Source organism: Homo sapiens, chromosome 2, assembly GCF_000001405.40.
Source record: "Homo sapiens chromosome 2, GRCh38.p14 Primary Assembly".
NCBI classification, from domain to species: Eukaryota; Metazoa; Chordata; class Mammalia; order Primates; family Hominidae; genus Homo; species Homo sapiens.
The window spans coordinates 16,264,987-16,284,899 of NC_000002.12; positions in this window are offsets into that span (position 1 = coordinate 16,264,987).

Here is a 19,913-nt window from a genome sequence, read left to right on the forward strand (position 1 = left end):
GGAAAAGAATAGAGAGGTGAATTGGCCATTATCCCCAGAGGCCTCAGCAGGGGAAGCATACATGCATGCTGGTCATCGCCACCTCTGATCTCTCATTTGTAGGTGAGAGAGTCACGCTCTCATTTTATAGATGAAAAAAGAGGAAAGGGGAATGGCTTGCTTACACATATGCCAGCGTGGAGTGCCAGAGTTATCCCAAGATGCAAATCTCCTGGCTCTTTCCACACTTCCAGTTCCTCCCTGTATCTTCGTGGTTGCTTCCTGACTCTGAGTCTAAAGGAGGGGTGTGCAAGGGGCTGTGGTGAGGTCACATCAAAGACATATTTCAAATCCATGAGCTGCAATCTTGTGACTGCCATTTCTTTGGAGCTGCAGTCAAACCAGGCCAGTGCTCTGGGCTATCTAGTCTTCTCAGAGTCCCTCCTGCCTGAGGACAGGGCTGTGCCTGCACCCTGGTGTTCAGATGTGCAGAGTTTTGCTCTGTCTCTGTGTCTCAACCTACTGCTTTACAAAAACCAAGATGAGATGGAGGAAAACCTCCTAGAGACAGATGAGGCTCCTAGCCAAACATCCAAACCTCACAGGCTTATACTGCCCAGCACTTGGATATTTGGAAACCTCCGGATGCTGGAACTTTCTTGCTTTCACTTGGATACTTTAAAGGAAAAGCACGGGAATGGGTTAAATGGTACCAACGTGTAAAAATCATGTGTTTTCTAATAAATTAGTTACTAATTGATCAATCAATTAATTCAGTTAATCAATCACAGACTGTTGAGCAATAAATAATACTGTTAACATTAATAGTTATTACTTTATGGAACTTATCATTTACAAGGCACTTTATACTTGTGATTGCACTTATATCCCACAATGCCTGCATGATGCATCTTACTATGCACAATTTAGAGGTGGAAGCTGGAAACCAGGAAGGATAGTTGGAGCTTATGACCCAAATTCTATGTTCCTGAAATTTGAAGTTTATTAATTCATGAAATCTCATAAACATTTAATATTAACTGTATGCCAGACACTCTGTTAAGCCTGGGAGAAAAAGAGGTAAAAAAATAGATAATCATTGTCATTAAGAGGCTTAAAGTCTAGCAAGGGAGACGCATTGAAAATTTAACAGTGTAGCCAGGTGTGGTGGCTCACGCCTGTAATCTCAGCACTTTGGGAGGCCAAGGTGGGCGGATCACTTGAGGTCAGGAGTTCGAGACCAGACTGGCCAAGATGGTGAAACCCTATCTCTACTAAAAAATACAAAAATTAGCTGGGGGTGGTGGTGCATGCCTGTAATCCCAGCTACTTGGGAGGCTGAGACAGGAGAATTGCTTGTACCTGGGAGGCAGAGGTTGTAGTGAACCAAGATGGCACCATTGCACTCCAGCCTGGGCAACAAGAGCAAAAGTGTGTCTCAAAAAAAAGAAAAAAAAAAAAAGAAAGAAAAAGAAAATTTAATTGTGTGGTAAATCCCATGTGGTTGATCCCATCACTCAAGTACTGAGCATAGTACCTGATAGGTAGTTTTTCAACCCTTGTCCCCAAACCATACAATATACCCAGGTAACAAACTGCATATGTACTCCCCGAATCGAAAATGAAAGTTGAGATTATTTTAAAAAATTAAGTTGTGAAATAATAAGTAAGTCGTGATCCTATTTGGTCTTTAGTTTTGTTTTGTTTTGAGACTTGACTCACTTTGTTGCCCGGGTTAGAATGCAGTAGCACAATCACGGCTCACTGCAGCCTTGACCTCCTGTGCTTAATTGATCCTCCCACCTCAGCCTCCTGAGTAGCTGGGACTACAAGCATGCACCACCTTGCCCGGCTAAGTTTTATATTTTTTTGTAGAGATGGGGTTTCATCATGTTTCCCAGGCTGGCGTTAAACTCCTGGACTCAAGCGATCCACTCGTCCTGGCATCACAAAGTGCTGAGATTACAGGCGTGAGCCACCATGCCCGATCTTGTTTGGTCTTAAAAAAAAAAAAGTGCAGTAGACCTTCCCTGGGTGCTGCATCCATGAATCCAACCAACCACAGATAGAAAATATTAGAAAAAAAAAAAACAATAAGACCACAAATAAAACAAATAAAAAATATAGTATGACAACTATTTATATAGCATTTACAACGTTTTAGGTATTATAAGTAATCTAGAGATGACAAAGTACAGGGGAGCATTGCGTTAGTTTCTTTGCAAATGTTATGCCACTTTCTATCTGGGACTTGAGCATCTTTGGATTTGGGTATCTGCTGGGGGTCATAGAACCCATCTCTCAAGGATACGGGGGGACCACTGTATAGCAGAAAATAAGGCACAGGGTGTGGAAGAGTCAAGGAGGAACTCCTGACCCAGAATGGGCAGTCTGGGATGCCTCCCATTAGAGGTGACTCTTTCAGAATGAGTCTTTAAAGATGAAGAGAGAATATTAGGCAGCCAGCAAAAAGGTGTGAATATTGAATAATCAAAATTTATAACCTCCAGCCTTATCTCTTGGCTTAAAAGTTTAAAGTGAAATCCTGTTATCTATTTTCCAGTGAGCTGAGAATATGTCTTAAGATTTCAGGAAAAAAAAAACTCTGATCATCATTTGCTTTAAAGATTTTAGCCAAGTATGTGAGAAGTAAGTGCTTAACAGAGGCCATCAAACCCACCGATGAGCTAAAAACAGGCATTGGAAGAAGCAGATGTTCAGGGGTTAGGGAGTGAAGTCAGGGAATTAATGGCTATTGAATTAAACAGGATGGAAATAATTTCAGATTGAAACTGAATTACTGCTTCTCAGGCAGAGTTAGGCAGAGCAAGAAGGCTCACTCCTGCAGAGAAGCAACACATGTTTGGTTTGATGAGAGGGATTATCAATCAAATATAGAGAAGGATAATAGATCAGCGTATCATTATTATCTTTAGGGAAACTGATGTATCATATAAATTGATTTTTCAGATAACAAAAGTGCAAATATTATCTATGTTTTAAGATTTTTAATAGAAGTTATTCTAAGAATCAATAACACACATCCTCTCCACGTGCCATCCCTTATTAGACATGTTAACTTGGGGGAGTTGTTTGACTTCTCTCTGCCACAGTTTCACTCCCTGGAACTGATAATCATCCCTACCTCTAAGGGTTATTTTGAATATGAAATAAGTTAATGCAAGTAGAACAAAGCCTGGCTTATAGCAAGCAGTTAACACATGTAGATGTTATCACAATCATCATTATACACAATAAGCAAGATAATTAAACCAAGTTTACCATTTTCTAGGGGATTTTACTTTTGGAAGGAAAAAACGAGAGTCTGTTAACCTTCCTGGGTCTTAATCTGTTCACTGAACAATGAAAGTTTGGACTTGAGAAACTCAAAGGACCCTCATTAGCCTGGACATGCCATGTGCCACACCTGCCTGGTAGTTGTCACACACATCAATTATTTCACTGGGCTGCTGTATACTGTTACTGTTATCTTTGTGGTGGTGGTGTGTGGGTATGTGAGTGTGGAGGGGGTCTTACCTCTTGCCCTGGTGCTAAATGGCTCCAGAGTGCTATCTCCATAGCTGGTGTTTCACCTCCCTCCTTTCTGAATGTTGGCTGGCCTTCTTGGTGGTTATGTTCTTGGGACATTGTAAAATATCTATTTTGTCTTCATCCAGTTTCCTGGCCTAAAAGTCCTAAAATCCTTCGACTCTCCAAAGTGATAGTGTCTTTTTGTATGCTAATAAGTTGATTGGTGGTGGCAGCCCCTAGGTAGCTTCAGGATAGAGGTTGGTTACTGGTAAGACCAAGGCAGGATTAGAGCGTTGGGACTTTCAGTCACACCCCCCAACCACCAGGGAAGGGAGAGAGACTAAAGATTCATTGGCTGATGGCCAATGGTTTAATCAATCTAGACTACACAATTCAGGCCTCCATAAGAACCCAAAACGATTGGGTTTTGAGAACTTCCTGATAGCTGATAGGAGGTCTCTTAGAGGTGATGTGTCTAGGGAGGGCATGGAAGCTCCCAGTTCCTTCCCGTACCTCACCCTATCTGTGTCTTCACCTGTATCTTTATATTACACCAGCATATATAAGTAAGTGTTTCTCTGAGTTCTGTGCTCTAGCAAATTAATTGAAGAAGAGGAAGGGGTGGGAGTCTCAATTATAGCCAGTCAGTCAGAAGTACAGGTCACAACGTGAGTCTTACCTGAGTCTTACAATTTTCATTGGAAGTGGGGGATAGTCTTGTGAGACTGAGCCCTCAAGCTGTGAGATCTGATGCTATCTCCAGGTAAACAGAGTCAGGATTGAACTGAGTTAGAGGACACCTGACTGGCGTCTGCTGCACAATTGATTGATTGGTTGCTGGTGGGGAGAAATCTCCACACACTTGGTGTCCAGAGGAGAAATATTCTGTGTTGATTGTTGGGTGAAACAATAGAAAAAAAACTTTGATTTTCTCAATATCCTTACAATACTACTCCCTTCCCCATTTTACTTTTGCCCTTTCTGTAGACGTCATATGGCTTTTAACATCTGGTCCACTATAATTTACTAGAGACTTGGATATTATTGCAAAATCAAATATCAATTACATAAAAGCTTATTCAATGGTGTGTATGTGCATAAATATATATTCAGTGGTATCTTAAAGCACTATATGCAAGAAAGAGGGAGTTCTATGGATGAAGGGGTTCTTCAACCCTAATGAAGGATAAGAGACTGAGGATGGATGGTTTGATGAGATTTGAGGATGAAGATCTAGGAGGACCATAGCAAGCTAAGAGAGCATTCAAAACCTTCTTGGGGAGTAGTGACAAATTTGAGATTAGTGATTACAAACAGACTGTCAGAGTTGTTGAATCTTTGTAACTTCTTCACATTGGTTATTTTTGTTAGTTATGGTTTGTACAGTGGGGCTTAATTATTTAATTATTATTTTAAATTATTTCAGGTTAAAATTTTAAATAATTATTATTGTTTTAGCTACAGTTGGTTGAGTACCTACCATGTGTGAAAAGCTCTGCTCAGATGATACCCAATCATTACAGCAGTTCTATGAAAGAGGCACTCTTAACACTCCTGCCCTCCCATGTTATACACAAGGAAACTGACTCAGAGCAATCAAGTTACTTGCCCAGTACCTGCGGGAGTTCAAAAGCAAACCCAGGTTCTACTGACAACTAAGCTAACGATTTTTTCCTATGCCAGGCATCCTTTAATATTCTCCCAAAAGACAAGGATTCCATGGGCTTTTTGGAGACATTGGGAAACATGGAATTGGTGAGATGGCCTTATCTACAGCCATTCTTGGGGGATAAATGGATATGAACACCAGGGAACAGAGTGAGAAAGAGTAGAGATAGCACTTAATAAAAGCAACAAGAGCAAGGGTAAATCCTTAGGGAAGGTCTATTGAGGACTAACCAGTAAGAAGTTTCTGGGGTGCCTGAATATTTTCAACCCCATAGATTCAGAAGACAATGCCAGCTGTCCATGGGATTACAGGTGCAGCAGTCTTGTGACCCCTCCCACTGCGGTTGTGCTTGGTGTGAGCAGGTTGCCAAGAATTTGGATGCTGATGTTCTAGCCATGACTTTGTTTCAAAAGGCAGAAAGCTGTATGAGCACAGGTAAAATAGTGGAATCCAGACTGTGCTGGTCAAGTTGGAAAGCCTAACCTGCATGTGCGCCAGGTGAGTCCTGGGGGTCCATGCTCCAAAACATCTGGTGCCAGGAGGAGCCAGGAGGGGCTGCTCAAGCCAAAGATGTCAGAGTTGAGTCTTCGGCTTCTGTTTGTAATTAATATTTGGCATCTCCTCTCTTCACCCTCCTCCTCGCCTCTCTCTTCCTCTCCTTTCCCTTTCCCTTCCCTTCCTTCTCCAAATATTTATTGGGCACCTTTTCTGCACATGACCCTACACTTATGATATGACACAGGATTCCTAACTTTGAAGGTCTTGTAGTCTCATTGGGGAGGCAGAATCAATTCACAGTTGGTGCCATTAGAGCTATAAAAAAGGGGACAAGTCACTGTGGGAACACCGAGGAGGAAGCTCCAATCTACCTCAAGGTGGTACTGAGCTGAGTGTCAAGGCATTAATTGTTTGGACTTAGCAAGAAGCAAATGGGGAAGGGAGAGTGTCCAGGCAAAGAGAAGACTGTGGGCCAAAGCACACAGGCAGAAAACATGAAACCTTTCAGAAACTACAGAAGTTCATTATAAGAGGTCTAGAGGGGTTGAGAGCCATATCAGTGGGAGAGGTCATGGTTAGGTCCAGATTATGGAAAGAGCTGGACCCTGTATTATAGACCCTATAGACAATGGAGAACCACTTAAGCAATGGGTTTATGGCATTTGATTGTCTGGAAAGATCACTGGAGCTATTTCTCTGGAAGTTACATTGGAGGGTGGAAGTCCAAGGGAGGGAGAGCAGCTTGTAGGGTGGGAGCATTCTGGCGTGTCTCCTGGTCTATGGAATCCTTTTGAGTAGATTCAGGCACCACTTGGAGTAATTACAGAGCCCAGGAAGTGAAAATATGGCCAAAAACATAAAAATCATTTTGTGGGACTTTACTTTTAAGAGCAGGCATCTTGGCAAAACAGGCAACCTCAAGAAATATCAGCACAAAGATTTTCAGGGACTTGAGTTGTTGCAAAAGTTGCAGTTCACAAAGAGCAGTTTTAAAAAATGTATGGCCTCTCTTTCTCTTAAATGCCTCAGAACCTCCAGAGAGAACCCAGCAGGTTGGAAACTGGAGGCCTAGAGACAACTGATGACACCAAGCCAGGCAGCAACATACAAAGCCTGCTTTTCCCAGGACTTCCACTTTTATAATTAGTTCCCCCTTTTGCTAAAGCAATTACCCACTTAACTGCTCCAATGAGAACTTAGACCATTGTCAGCTCCCGGGGTGAAAAAGTAATTTACTTTCCTCTGCAGATCATGGGCACGCTAGTTCTTTGTTCAGACGGTTTCTATTTGCTGTATGCCTACTGTGTGGCTAGGTGCTTTGCACACTTCATTTCACTACATTGTCATAGGAACCCCCCCAACATTGTAGTATCATCCTTATTTTACATATTAGGAAACAGATTACTCAGATGAAATTGCAAGCTGACAGAGATAGCAAGTTGTGGAACCAGAACTGAACCCAGTATGTGAGGCTTCAGCGTCACTCCTAGGTCAGGAGGCCTCCGCACGGCACGTGCCTACTGGGAGACGCAGAAACACACTGAAGTTAAGAGTCTGGATTTTAGAGTCAGATTTTCCTGTACTGAATTCTGGTTTTGCTCTGGGCTCATTGGGGAATTTGCCCAAGGGCTCATAGGTTGAAGCTTAAAGAAATGGAAGGATGCAGCTAAAGCACTTTGCACAGGGCCTGGCCCAAACAACTGATCAATATATCCTTACCATTATTGGTAAGAATTGCCAAAAGCCTGCGTCTGAATATTTTTCCCAGTGATCACAATATTTCAGGTGAGTTTCCCATGGTCTTTGGAGTATGAGAATAATTTCATACACAGATTTAGGGAGAAAGCACTGCCTGATGCCAGATGCCATTCTAGAGTGTTATTTTATTTAATCTGCAATCAGGAAGGGCTCAAGTCAAGATTTCACCTCAGGCAGTTGGCTCGTTCCTCACCACGCCATGCTGCCTGTTCTGCTTTTGTGTTCGTGGAGAAGTTTGGGACAGGAATAACCTTAGTGATTAGAAACTTAGAGTGGACAGAGAGTACGTGTGCCTCACTAATTTGAAGTTAGCTCTGAAAGTGCTGGCCTTTTAAAGGATTGTTTTCCATGCAGAGCATGGCTAACACAGACTTTTGTAGTAATATGAACAAAAGCAAGATGTTAATTAAATAGTTACTTTTAAGAGCTGTGTCTTTTAACAGCTTAAAGAAAACACCAACTACCCGCTGCATTATTCTATTACCACTAATTCATATATTTTTAAAGAGAAACATTGAAAGGGAATGATTTTATTGAGTATCTAGATTTATATAAACTCACCGCTGAGCTGGCTGTTTAATATCCTATATCATATAATCCTCAATTAAGCCCATGGTTGCTATTATTATCCCCCAGGTGAGGCCAAGGAGGCTCAGAGATGTTTTGTAGCTTGCCCCAAATTCACAGAGCTAGAAATGGAAAAATGGGGTCAGAATTCCATTTTTGTACCCCAAAGTAGTGTCCTTTCTACTTTGCCATCTTCTAATTTGAGCAGACATAGGACCTTTGAGATGAAAACTAGTGAGCACTCATAGCCTGGATATGCATTTTCCAGATCTTCCTATGTGACACTGAACCCATGGCCAGCCATAGGCCAAGAGACACCAAGAATGGGCCTAAAGGATAGAGCAGTTCTCAAAGATTTGCAGCTGGGAGCTATTTGAGGTCAGAGCAGGCAGGGTGATAGAAATTCTGGTAAGTAGGGGACAGAAAAGCATTCAAGGACAAAGGAAAGAAAATGTTCAAAAACATTAATGGGATCAAGACACCAATCATTACAGTGTTGGAATTTGAGTCTGGTTCTGAATTGTTAATTGATTTTAGCAACTGTTTTGTATGATTGCCAGGATAGGGATAGTTCTCAGGATTGGATAGGCCCAGGTCTACAGGCATAAGTGAAGAAGTAGCTGTATTTGTGGAGGAGAGGATGAGAAGTTGATAGGGAAGGTGGGTTCTGACAGCAGAGGTGTGGGATGGGAGAGGCAAGGATCATGGGATAAACCTCAGAATAGAACAAAATCTTTTGTTTTGTTTTGTTGTTGAGATAGGGTCTCACTCTGTCACCCAGGCTGGAGTGCAGTGGTGCAATCTTGGCTCACTACAGCCATGACTTCCTGGACTCAAGTGATCCTCCCACCTCAGCCTCCTGAGTAGCTGGGATTACAGGTGTGTGCCACCATGCCTGACTAATTTTTAAATTTTTTGTAGAGATGGTTTTGCCACATATCCCAGGCTGGTCTTGAACCCATGGGCTCAAGTGATTCTCTTGCCTCAGCCTCCCAAAGTGCCAAGATTACAGGTATTAGCCACTGTGACTGGCCCAAATTTATTTATTTATTTATTTATTTATTTATTTATTTATTTATTATTATTTTTTGAGGTGGAGTCTTGCTCTGTCGGCAGGCTGGAGTCCAGTGGCACAATCTCAGCTCACTGCAACTTCTGCCTCCTCGGCTCAAGTGATTCTCCTGCCTCAGCCTCCCGAGTAGCTGGGATTACAGATGCACGCCACTACACCCAGCTAATTTTTGTATTTTTAGTAGAGATGGGGTTTTCACCATGTTGGCCAGGCTGGTCTCGAACCCCTGACCTCAGGTGATCTGCCTGCCTCGGCCTCCCAAAGTGCTGGGATTACAGGCATGAGCCAAATTTATTTTTAAGTAAAAGAACAAAATGACTTTTGTGAAGAAGGTAAACTTTTGAAACACAGCTGAGGAATATAACTTTCTGTGATAATAAATATTTTCTACATCTGCAATATCCAATATGGTAGTCACTAACTACATGTGGCTTTGGAATATTTAATATCTCCCTAGGTGTGTGACTAAGGGATTTCCTTTCTTGCTTTATTTAATTTTACTTACACTTAAGCTTAAATTGCCATGTGTGGCTAGTGACTACCATATTGGATGGCACAGCTCTAAAAAGAAATTACAATGATTCCCTGAGAAACTTAAAATGCTATAAATCCCTTTGACCAAAAGCTACTCAAAAAGTGTGAAGATGATTAAGATATAAGTTGCAAGAAACCCTTCTCACAAGTCAGCAAATCACGGATTGAGTTAGCAAAGAGCTCATTTTATGATACACGAGATAATATACGAAAATACATATTATGATAGCAGAAAAGATAGACATTTATATCAAATAAATATTATAAAATCAGCTTTATTCCAAAGCATTATTGAATGATTCCATCTGCCAGATGGTTTTTGTTGTTGTTCTGGGGGGCAGGAAGGAAGTTATTCCTAAGAAGGATAAAGATAAATTAATATTTACCCAACTTTTAAAAAATTTGCCTCAAAAGAATGAATGATTTGAGTATTGCCATCACGTTGATTATACAAGAATAATTTATTTCATGATTAACTCTGAATTTTCAAGTTGTTTTCATTATGAGCGCTGAAAGAAACAGGCAAGTGCGCACAAGTTGGCCAAATGGTCAAGATAAATTCTGGTCAATTCTTTAAGGACGGTCAGTGTTAGCAACTCCATCTCAGGGGTCCTGCTCTGGGAACCCATGTGTGGTCATCAGGATCACAGTCACCGTCCTCCACAAAATTCCCCTGGAGGTGGCAGCTGAAGACAACTCTGTAAGGGTGGAGATCAGCGCTTCCCTTTTCCTTCCAAGGAGATGGGAAAAGGCCTCGTTTTTGTATAACAGCAGCCCAGAATTCCAAAGCAGGAGAAATGAAGGCTGCTCTATAGCCAGTTAGCTGGGTTTTTGTAATGTTACCTTTTCTGAGGTTTCCCCAGACTTCTAGGCATCTGGAGTCCTCCCTGGAACAGAAGGTTTTTAAGATCCTACAAATGGAGCCAATCTTCTCTAGCAGGGGACAGAGTAAATGGCTTAATAGGCCTATCACATCTTAATTTTTTTAATGGTTTTATATCCTGGGGTAACAGTGAGGAAGGCATGATTTTATTATTATTAATTATTATTCTATTATTACAGTTTTCCAGTCTGGCTCTTTGATGTTTACAAGTTCAGACAACATGTGGTTTTCAAGCCAGGTTTCATAACCTTAAACTACCTTTCCATGTGGCTTCTGTCCACCCTATTTTGTTTTAGATCTTGTTTATGTTTGGCTTAAATCATGAGTTGGCTGTGGTGTGTATTTTGCCACATGGATTCAAGGCATCAGATGAAGACAGCATTTTGGATGGCATCTACATCGAAGCACAGTTACAAAACTTGTGTGCCAATGCTTGCCAGACTCTGGCTGGGTGGATGAGTCCTGGGCTGCCCGTTGAATTCTGCCTGATCTCTGCCACTTGCCTCGTAAGGGTGTGAGCTTTACAGCTACAGTCTAGATTCTCTGCTCAAACTAGAAAGTCTCTGTTCTACACGGAGTTTTGGCTTTGTTAGCCACAGATATTAGATGCATAAGTGCGTGACATAACTTAAAATAACATAAAAAAAATTCTACTGGGTACAGATTGTCAAGAATCTTGCACACCAGGCCAAGGGGTTTATGTCTTGTAGAGTAGTGCAGTAGTCCTTAAAGGGTGGTCCCTGGAAAAGCAGTATCAGCATCACCCAGCAACTTGTTACAAATGCAAACTTCCAGACCCCGTCCTAGACTGACTGAGTCAGAAACTCTGGGTGTAAGGCTCACCAATCTGTGTTTTAACCAGTCCTCCACATGGCTCTGATGCACGCTCCAGTTTGGAAACCACTGGTGTAGGGCATGGGGAGCTAGTTGAAAAGTGTTAGGGCTGGGTGCGGTGGCTCACGCCTATAATCCCAGCACTTTGGGAGGCTGAGGTGGGCAGATCACTTGAGGTCAAGAGTTCAAGACCAGCCTGGCCAACATGGCAAAACCTCATCTCTACTAAAAATACAAAAAATATTTATATTTTGGTGCACGCCTGTAATCCCAGGTACTCGGGAGGCTGAGGCAGGAGACTCACTTGAACCCAGGAGGCAGAGGTTGCAGTGAGCCGAGATCATGCCACTGCACTCCAGCCTGGGAGACAGAGTGAGACTCCATCTCATAAAAAAAATAAAAAATATAAATGAAAAGTGTTAGGTAGTGGAGGGAAATGGTCATTCACACACATTTTAGGAAGTTCTTGCCTGAAAAGGGAGAGACACTGGAGTCAGTGGAGAATAGTAAATCAACTTTATTGCAAAAATCTGAGCAAGGACATGATGAGTGTCTCAGCCAGGATGTAGCAATGAGGCTAAAACTCACTAGACTCATCTGAAAGATGATGTGGAGGTAGAGTTTCTTGTGTTAGGTTATTGCCTAACTATTGAACGTGAGGACCAGAAGTCTAGAATGACTCCCAGGTTCTGTCTTAGGTAGATATTGATGCTATTTAACAAGATAGAAAACAAAAGAAAAGCCTTTTCCTAAAACCATGCAGAAGCCAGAGGGCAAAAATTCAACATCCAGTCGAATTTGTGTGGTTTTGGCCACTTGGCTCAAACTCTAGAGAAAGGATTCTGTTGAAAGGCAGACAATAAAGTATCAGCCACAATGTCATGAACACAATGGGGCATATTGAAACCACATGCCTCTTGAATCAGAATACATGTTATGACAGTCTGTCTTCACTTCTCTTGGGCACCTGTAGTGGTAGTGGTGAATGAGTTGGCTGTGAAGATTCAGACTGAGACTGAACATAAATAGACAGGAGAGTTCACCAGCATCGGGGACTGGCTTATGCAGAATACAGCACCACCTCCAAGTTGCGTCACATCTTTACATTGGCATCCTTGCCATTACCAAGGATGTGGTTTTGTCCATGGTCTGCCTGAACATAGGTATTAAGATGCTATGTAAAAGGGTGATTATTCTGTGTGGTCATAGACTTCAAAAGGTCAGAGCAAAACAGTCATAGCATTTCTTTTTCTTTTTTTTTTTTTTTTTTGAGACGGAGTCTTGCTCTGTCCCCCAGGCTGGAGTGCTGTGGTGTGATTTCGGCTCACTGAAGCCTCTGCTTCCTGAGTTCAAGTGATTCTTCTGCCTCAGCCTCCCGAGTAGCTGGGATTACAGGCCCCCACCACTATGCTCAGCTAACTTGTATTTTTAGTAGAGACGGGGTTTCACCATGTTGGCCAGGCTGGTCTCAAACTCCTGACCTCAAGTGATCTGCCCACCTTGGCCTTCCAAAGTGCTGGATTACAGGCATGAGCCATCATGTCTGGCCCCGTCATAGCATTTTACAGTGGAAAGAAAACTCAGTGATAAGTCGTCAGACCCATTTTTTTCATAGATGGGAAAATTAAGGCCCAGGGAAAGGAAATGACTTGTCCATGTCCAGGGCCTCCACTCAGGGCAGAGCACAAGATGCTTTTCTCCATAATCACCTCGAGGCAATCCCTAATTCCAGCTCACATCTCACTCAGTGAGAGCAACAAGGACAAACTCAAATCGAGCCCATCTATGTGTCAACAGGCATAGTGCTGCTTATTCCCCATGGATCAGCTCCTCCAGTCCCCACCTCAGTGCTGTACTTTAAGGACTGGTGTTATTCCCATTTTAGCAGATGTGAAAACAGAGGCTTAGAAAGGTCGAATCCTTGCCCAAGTTAACTCTATCAGCCAGGTGAGTGTCCAACCTGGTATTTGAAGCCAGATGCCTGATTCTAGGATCTGTGATTTCGACACCGATGCTTTGTTGTTTCTTTTATCTCTGAAGCTTTCCTGAGCCCTGGCCTCAACAAGAGCTGGCCTCTTGCTACGTGTTCCAGCAGCCTCCATCCTCCCTTCTCCTCAACTTTAATCTCCCGTTGTCATTATTTTCTGTTGTCTCCTGTGCACTCCCATGAAGCCCTGCATTCTGGTCTCACTACAATTGCATGCTTTGCTTACAGATTGTTCCCCACTTGATTGCAAGCTTCAGCAGGAAAGACACTCGGTCCATCTTGTTCACAACTATGCATGTGCCTGACACCTAGTAAGTGTCCAATAAATACCTTTTGAGAAAAAAGGATGTATAGCAGGGCCAGGCACAGTGGCTCACACCTGTAATCCCAGCACTTTGAGAGGCCAAGGTGGGTGGATCAGTTGAGGTCAGGAGTTCAAGACCAGCCTGCTCAACATAGTGAAACTCTGTCTCTACTAAAAATACAAAAATTAGCCGGGCATGGTGGCGCATGCCTGTAATACCAGTTACTCGGGAGGCTGAGGCATGAGAATCACTTGAACCCAGGAGGCGGAGGTTGCAATGAGCTGAGATAATGCCACTGCACTCCAGCCTGGAGACAGAGTGAGGTCCATCTCAAAAAAAAAAAAAAAAAAAAAAAAAAAAAAAGAACGTATAGTAAGATGTTGGCTTTTCAAGGGCAAGGGCAGGGATCCTGTGTCAGCCATCTCTATTTCTTCTCCAAAACCTACCATGCTATTGTCATGCAGTGGGGACACTCTAAGGGTTTTTGAAAGCATGAATCAAGAGGAGAATTCAGCTGGGTGCGGTGGCTCACACCCATACCTATAATCCCAGCACTTTGGGAAGCTGAGGCAGACCTTTTTTTTTTTTTTCCCCAAAAAATCAAGATAGAAATAAAAGAGAATTCTTTCTAGAACAAAGAACAAGATTGGTCACGGCAGGTTCAGGAGGACTCTGTGTCTTCGGGAATAGAGGAAGCAGTTGGCACAGAGAGGAGAGTCTGGAGAATGCCAAGGACAAACTACGATGACCTCACAAATGTTCCCCATATGTGGAGCACTGAAAGTCTGAGAAGCATTCTGACAGGGATAAGGGAGAAGGAGCGGGTCACCTTTGCTTAGTGTCTACACTGGCCTGTCTTGTTTCCTCCTCAGTCCTCCAGTGTGGAAGCCACAGCTCTTGTTCCTGAGGTTGAAGGATCTCAATGGCTTCTGCACATAGTAGGCAAACTACAAATGTCAAATGAATGCATACAAGAAACACCGATAATCTTCGTTAAAATTTATTAGGTGCTACAAACTAGCTACTATCAGTATGTTACATGGGTTGTAAAGTAGACCACCATTATCCTCAATTAATCATGGAGGAAGCAGAAGTCCTGGAGGATGAAATTGCTTGCCTATGGCTACGCGAGCTAGCAGGTGGTGAATCAGAGTGGGAGCCCAGCAGTCCAGCATCTGTACCCTTCATGACCCCCATAAACAGCCCACTGTGAGTGACGTGTTGCAGCAGCACAGATGTACATGACAGACTCCTCCTCAGGGATCATTTCTCTGACTGCATAATAGGAGCCAGGCTGGATGTTGAATGAGGGTGCAGCATTATCAGCAAGTTGTAATGACAGGGAGCACTCAGCGAGCATTCCTGGCACAGGTGTGGGTAGAGGCACAGAAACCCATGAATGAATAGTTGAGTATTGGATGTGAAGGGATGGGAGTCAGTTTCCCCCCACCCTTGTAGGTAATATCTGTCTCTTCATCACTGCTGTTCTAAAAGATGGCCCCAAAAGTTCAGTCTCTGTAAAATGTGTTCTAAATTAGTGGCCCCTTAGGGATTCTGGGGCTATTTCCCCTAGACAGAGGTCAAGGGACTGGCTGGACTGGTCCAGCAGCCAGGGGGCCATGGAGTGGCTGCAACCTCAAGCAGGGTATGTTCTTCCACCCTCTCTTACCCTCTCACCTCTCAGCCAGGGAACTGAGGCTCAGGCCTCTCATGGGGAGGCGAGAAGAGAAACCAAGAAGATAAGTGAGGCGGGGCCTGGGCCTTGTCCACTTCCCAGCAGACTCACCTGCTCAGTGGGCTGCCTTGCTATGTGGTCCTGAGGAAGCCCTTCGAGGGCTTGGGCCTATTGTCTATGGAGGGGATGGTGATAATGCTTTCTGGCTCCTGCAGACCCTGAGTGAGAGTCAGTGATTGAAAAGAATGTGGGAAGGCGTTCACAGTGTGGTTTCCTGCTGGATCTGAGCCCACCATGAAAGCTGGGGTCTCCTGACCCAGCACTTAGGCAACCATATCACGCCCTCCTTGCCGATCTGGGCATGTGTATGTTAGTTGTGTGTGCGTGCAGGTGTCTGTAGGCATTCAGTGGTTCTGCCAGGGAATTTGTTCTTTGCAACTGAGCTTTTCACAGGCAGGAAGGCCTGAGAGTGATGTCAGTTTCTCCCCATTGACTCTGTGGGATGAACTCTGCCCCTATACTTACTCCTCCTCCTGCAACCCATCCTTTAACTTCTATGATTGGGGTCCTTGGTGATGAGCCATGTCATAAGGTCAGGTTCTTCCACCTGCAGAGCACTTGGCATTTCCAGACCACATGCATGATACTTAGGAGAAGGCTTCTCCTTGCACAGTCAAAAAGGGTAGGGAAAGTTCTGCCATGGGAACTTACCATATGCCAGGATTGTGCTAGACACTTTGCACAAGGGTCTTTAATTCTCAGAAGTGATTCTGAGAGGGAGATATTTTTATGCCATTTTACTGATGGAGATGTCAAGGCTCAGAGATGTTACAGGAATACCCACAGCTAGCAAGTGGTGAAGCCCATGGTTGTTTTTGTTTTGCTTTGTTTTTTTTTTTTTTTGTTTGTTTGTTTGTTTTTGAGACAGAGTCTTACTCTGTCTCCCAGGCTGGAGTGCAGTGGTGTGATCTCTGCTCACTGCAACCTCCGCCTCCCAGATTCAAGCGATTCTCCTGCCTCAGCCTCCTGAGCAGCTGGGACTACAGGTGCGTGCCACCATGCCCAGCTAATTTTTGTATATTTTTAAAGTAGAGATGGGGTTTCACCATGTTGGCCAGGCTGGTCTCAAACTCCTGACCTCGTGATCCACCCGCCTCAGCCTCCCAAAGTGCTGGGATTACAGGCATGAGCCACCGCGCCCGGCCATAGCCCGCAGTTTTAATTTGGCCATCCTGTGGAGACTCATGAGGCTGAGCAGTGATGCTGCCAAGGCGATGGACACTGGATTGACTCTTTGGTAGTTTCGGCTTTGCTCTGGGAGGCCTCCGTGGATTGTTCCCGGGAAGGGACTGTGGCTCCTTCTGCCTCACTGGAGCATCAATTCCTGAACCTGATGTTTCTCTACTGTGAGCCAATCCTCGTGTTTTATTCTCTAATCTCGGCTTTGCCAAAAAGCAGGCAGCCTTTGGAGAACCTAAAGAGGCGACAGACCGAGTTTTTCCTCTGGTCTGTACAATGGTGGGCAAACCTCTGTGTCTCTCTGGGCCTCAGTTTTCCCACCAGTGATATGAGATTATTCTAGAATGATATTTTAGAGTCTTTTCAGCTCTGACGTCATTTCGTTTCATTGCATAGCATTGCAGTGCTCTGTATTTTATCTTTAGACACCCTCCCTCTCTGAAATGTTATAATCTTTCTCACGGAGGCTTCTCCCCTTCTGGCTAGTCTGTCTTAAAGTATAGCACCACCTTCTGGTGATTGGTTTACTCCTTCCCCCGCCTCCCACTCTAGCTCCTGTCTGATTCTTGGTTCCTCTCTTCCTCCAGAAACTAGGCTGAAAACCGATGACCAGGCACAGACACCTGGCTGTGGGCATCTCTCTGCAGAGCTCACCTGGGAGGGTCAGTGGTGAGTTGCAGCTGGACCCGGCATTCTTCCATCAAGACAGTGCCGATGCCCTTCCTGGGGCTGAGATCACACCAGGAGCCGGGGAGGAGCTGGCTACCTTGGCAGAGCCTGGATGGCCTGGGGTGGCAGCAGCTGAAAGTGCATAATTCATGAGGGATTTGCTCCATCAGGAAGCAAGGGCAGAAGTAGACAAGGTCCTCGGCCTGGTTTTTCTTTCCCTTTTGCTTTTGTTTTGAGGTGAAGAAGCAGGCTTCAGAAAAATGTATGGGCAGCCAAGTTTCAGAGGCTCTTAGAGTTTTTGGATTTTTTTTTGGGGGGGGGCTTTATTTTGTGTGGAAAAGAAAGCAAGAAAAAGAAGGGGTGTGTTTAGGGCTTTTTCCCCCATGAGAGAAATGTGGAGGGCCTCCCTGAGCATGTGTCTTTGTCTCTATGGGTCATGGCTCCTGAGCAGATTTCTCAAAGTTGCTCTCATCTGCCCAACACTCATGACGGTCTGAGGGTTCAGCTGTGGGGATAGAGAGGATGGAGGGCTGCGGGGGATCTTCTACCAGGACCTGTCAGCTCACTACCTAGGAGGACAGAGTTTAGGCTTGTCTCTATCCTGGAGAAACCCAACTGTCCCCAAACAGGCCAGGCCTTGTGTGGCTTTAAATTTCTGGAAGTACACATTGTATTGACTTGGGAATGTTTGCTGTAGGAACTCTGACCTGGCAGATAGGAGACCAGATTCCAAATTATGAATGCACTGCTCTAGGTGTTCTTCAGCAACTGAGTGTCTTTTATCTTCCAAGCATAGTTTCTTCTTTCGCAAGGAGAGGGTAGAAATGAAGAGTTTCAAGATTTCTGAGCTTCATTCTATCCCATTATTCTAGAACACTAGGAGTTAAATGATAGGGGTTTTCATTCACACTCTGCCTCTTCCCTGATAAGCCAAGTAACTTGTCTTGCTCCTAATGAGTTTGTCAGTTTGGGCAGCATCATGCATTGGAGTGGGACAGGGCCAAGATGTGCAGGTGCCCCATGCCATCCCAACCCCATGAGCTCTGCATGCTTGCAGGGTTGTTGGAAGGATGTCCAAGGCTGCAGTGAAACTTTGCTGCTGTGGATGGGGTGGGTGAGCACACATACAGGTGCCTGGGCCTGGAGCAGGCTGGGGAAGTGCAGGGAAGGTAGACAGAACCAATGGGATGGCTGTGATCCCATACAGAGAGCCACTAATTAAGGCCCATATATCAGCTAAAAGGAAGGAATTATCAGCAATCAAAAGAAAAATGTAAACACATTCCAAATTGTACATTTTTTTAACCTTCACCTAGTCGGGTGGTCCGTGTTTGTTCTATGCCACAAGGCAAATGTGTGTACCTGCACAGACACACCTGTGTGCGTATGCTCTGAATTAGAAGGGTTTCATCGAACGAGGCCGGCAGGGTGATACTCAGCCGCCAGGCCTCAGCCTTGTGGGAATTGGCAGGAAACTGTTGGTAAATCACTTGGGATTCTGTGGGTACAGGCACTGTGTTCATTGAAGATATCATTAGCGCCTTTCGTCAGGAGCCAGAAGCCCACAGTGCAGTCTACCGGTGCTTGACTTAGCTTGTCCAGCAGTGAAATTAACATAATAAAACTCAGTTAACAGAGATGCTACAGATTTAATTAGTTCCTTAACAGTTAAAGAAGAGTTATGAGATCCTGAGCCCTCCATCTTCAAAAGCAATTTGGGCAGATTGATGTCACCGTCCGACATCTCCACCGAAATTCTGGGTTGCCAAAGTCAATTTGGGAAATTGCTCATATTATTCTACCTCCTTCCTTACCACCTTGAAAGGAAGCACTTCCAGGTTGCCTCTCAACTGATTCTTCCAGAGCCTGGGACTCACCGGAAATAGGGAGGTTCTACCCTATGGGCTCTGGAGCTTCTCCTTTGGAGTGCCTGGCCCCTCTGCCTCTCCTCCCACATCCCAGAACCTGCCTCATCTGCCCTTTGCATTCTGCAGGTGCTCAGTAGATACAAGTTGTAGCTATCGTTCTTCTAACACCTTTTTTTTTTCTTTAGACAAAGTTTCACTCTTGTTGCCCAGGCTGGAATGCAGTGGCGCAATCTTGGCAACCTCCACCCCCCGGGTTCAAGCAATTCTCCTGCCTCAGCCTCCTGAGTAGCTGGAATTACAGGCATGTGCCACCATGCCTGGCTAATTTTTGTATTTTTAGTAGACGTGGGGGTTTCACCATGTTGGTCAGGCTGGTCTTGAACTCCTGACTTGAGGTGTTCCACCTGCCTCAGCCTCCCAAAATGCTGGGATTACAGGCGTGAGCCACCATGCCCAGTGTTGTTCTTCCAACTTCCTGTGCATTCGGTGCCTCTTCTGAATCTGTATTAGATGCCATAAAATGTAATATGGCTATTAAGCTGTTTGTTCTGGGCTGGTGGATTTAGCAGTGTTTGGGCATGGTAGGTGACTGAGTGAGAGCTACAACAGCTTGAGAAGTTCGGGACACTCACTCAGGAGACCCGTAATAGCTCGACCTCTTATTTTCTGTTTTGTTTTGTTTGTTTGTTTTGTTTTCTCTCTTCAGGAATCATGTTTACAAAGCATTCCCTTGGCAAGAGGCTGTCTATAGGATCCAGATGGTCTGACCCCAAGTCAGATGTCCTTTATAACCTTGCTTTTATGGTCCTCTGACCAGCAGCATTAACATCACCCTCACCTGGGAG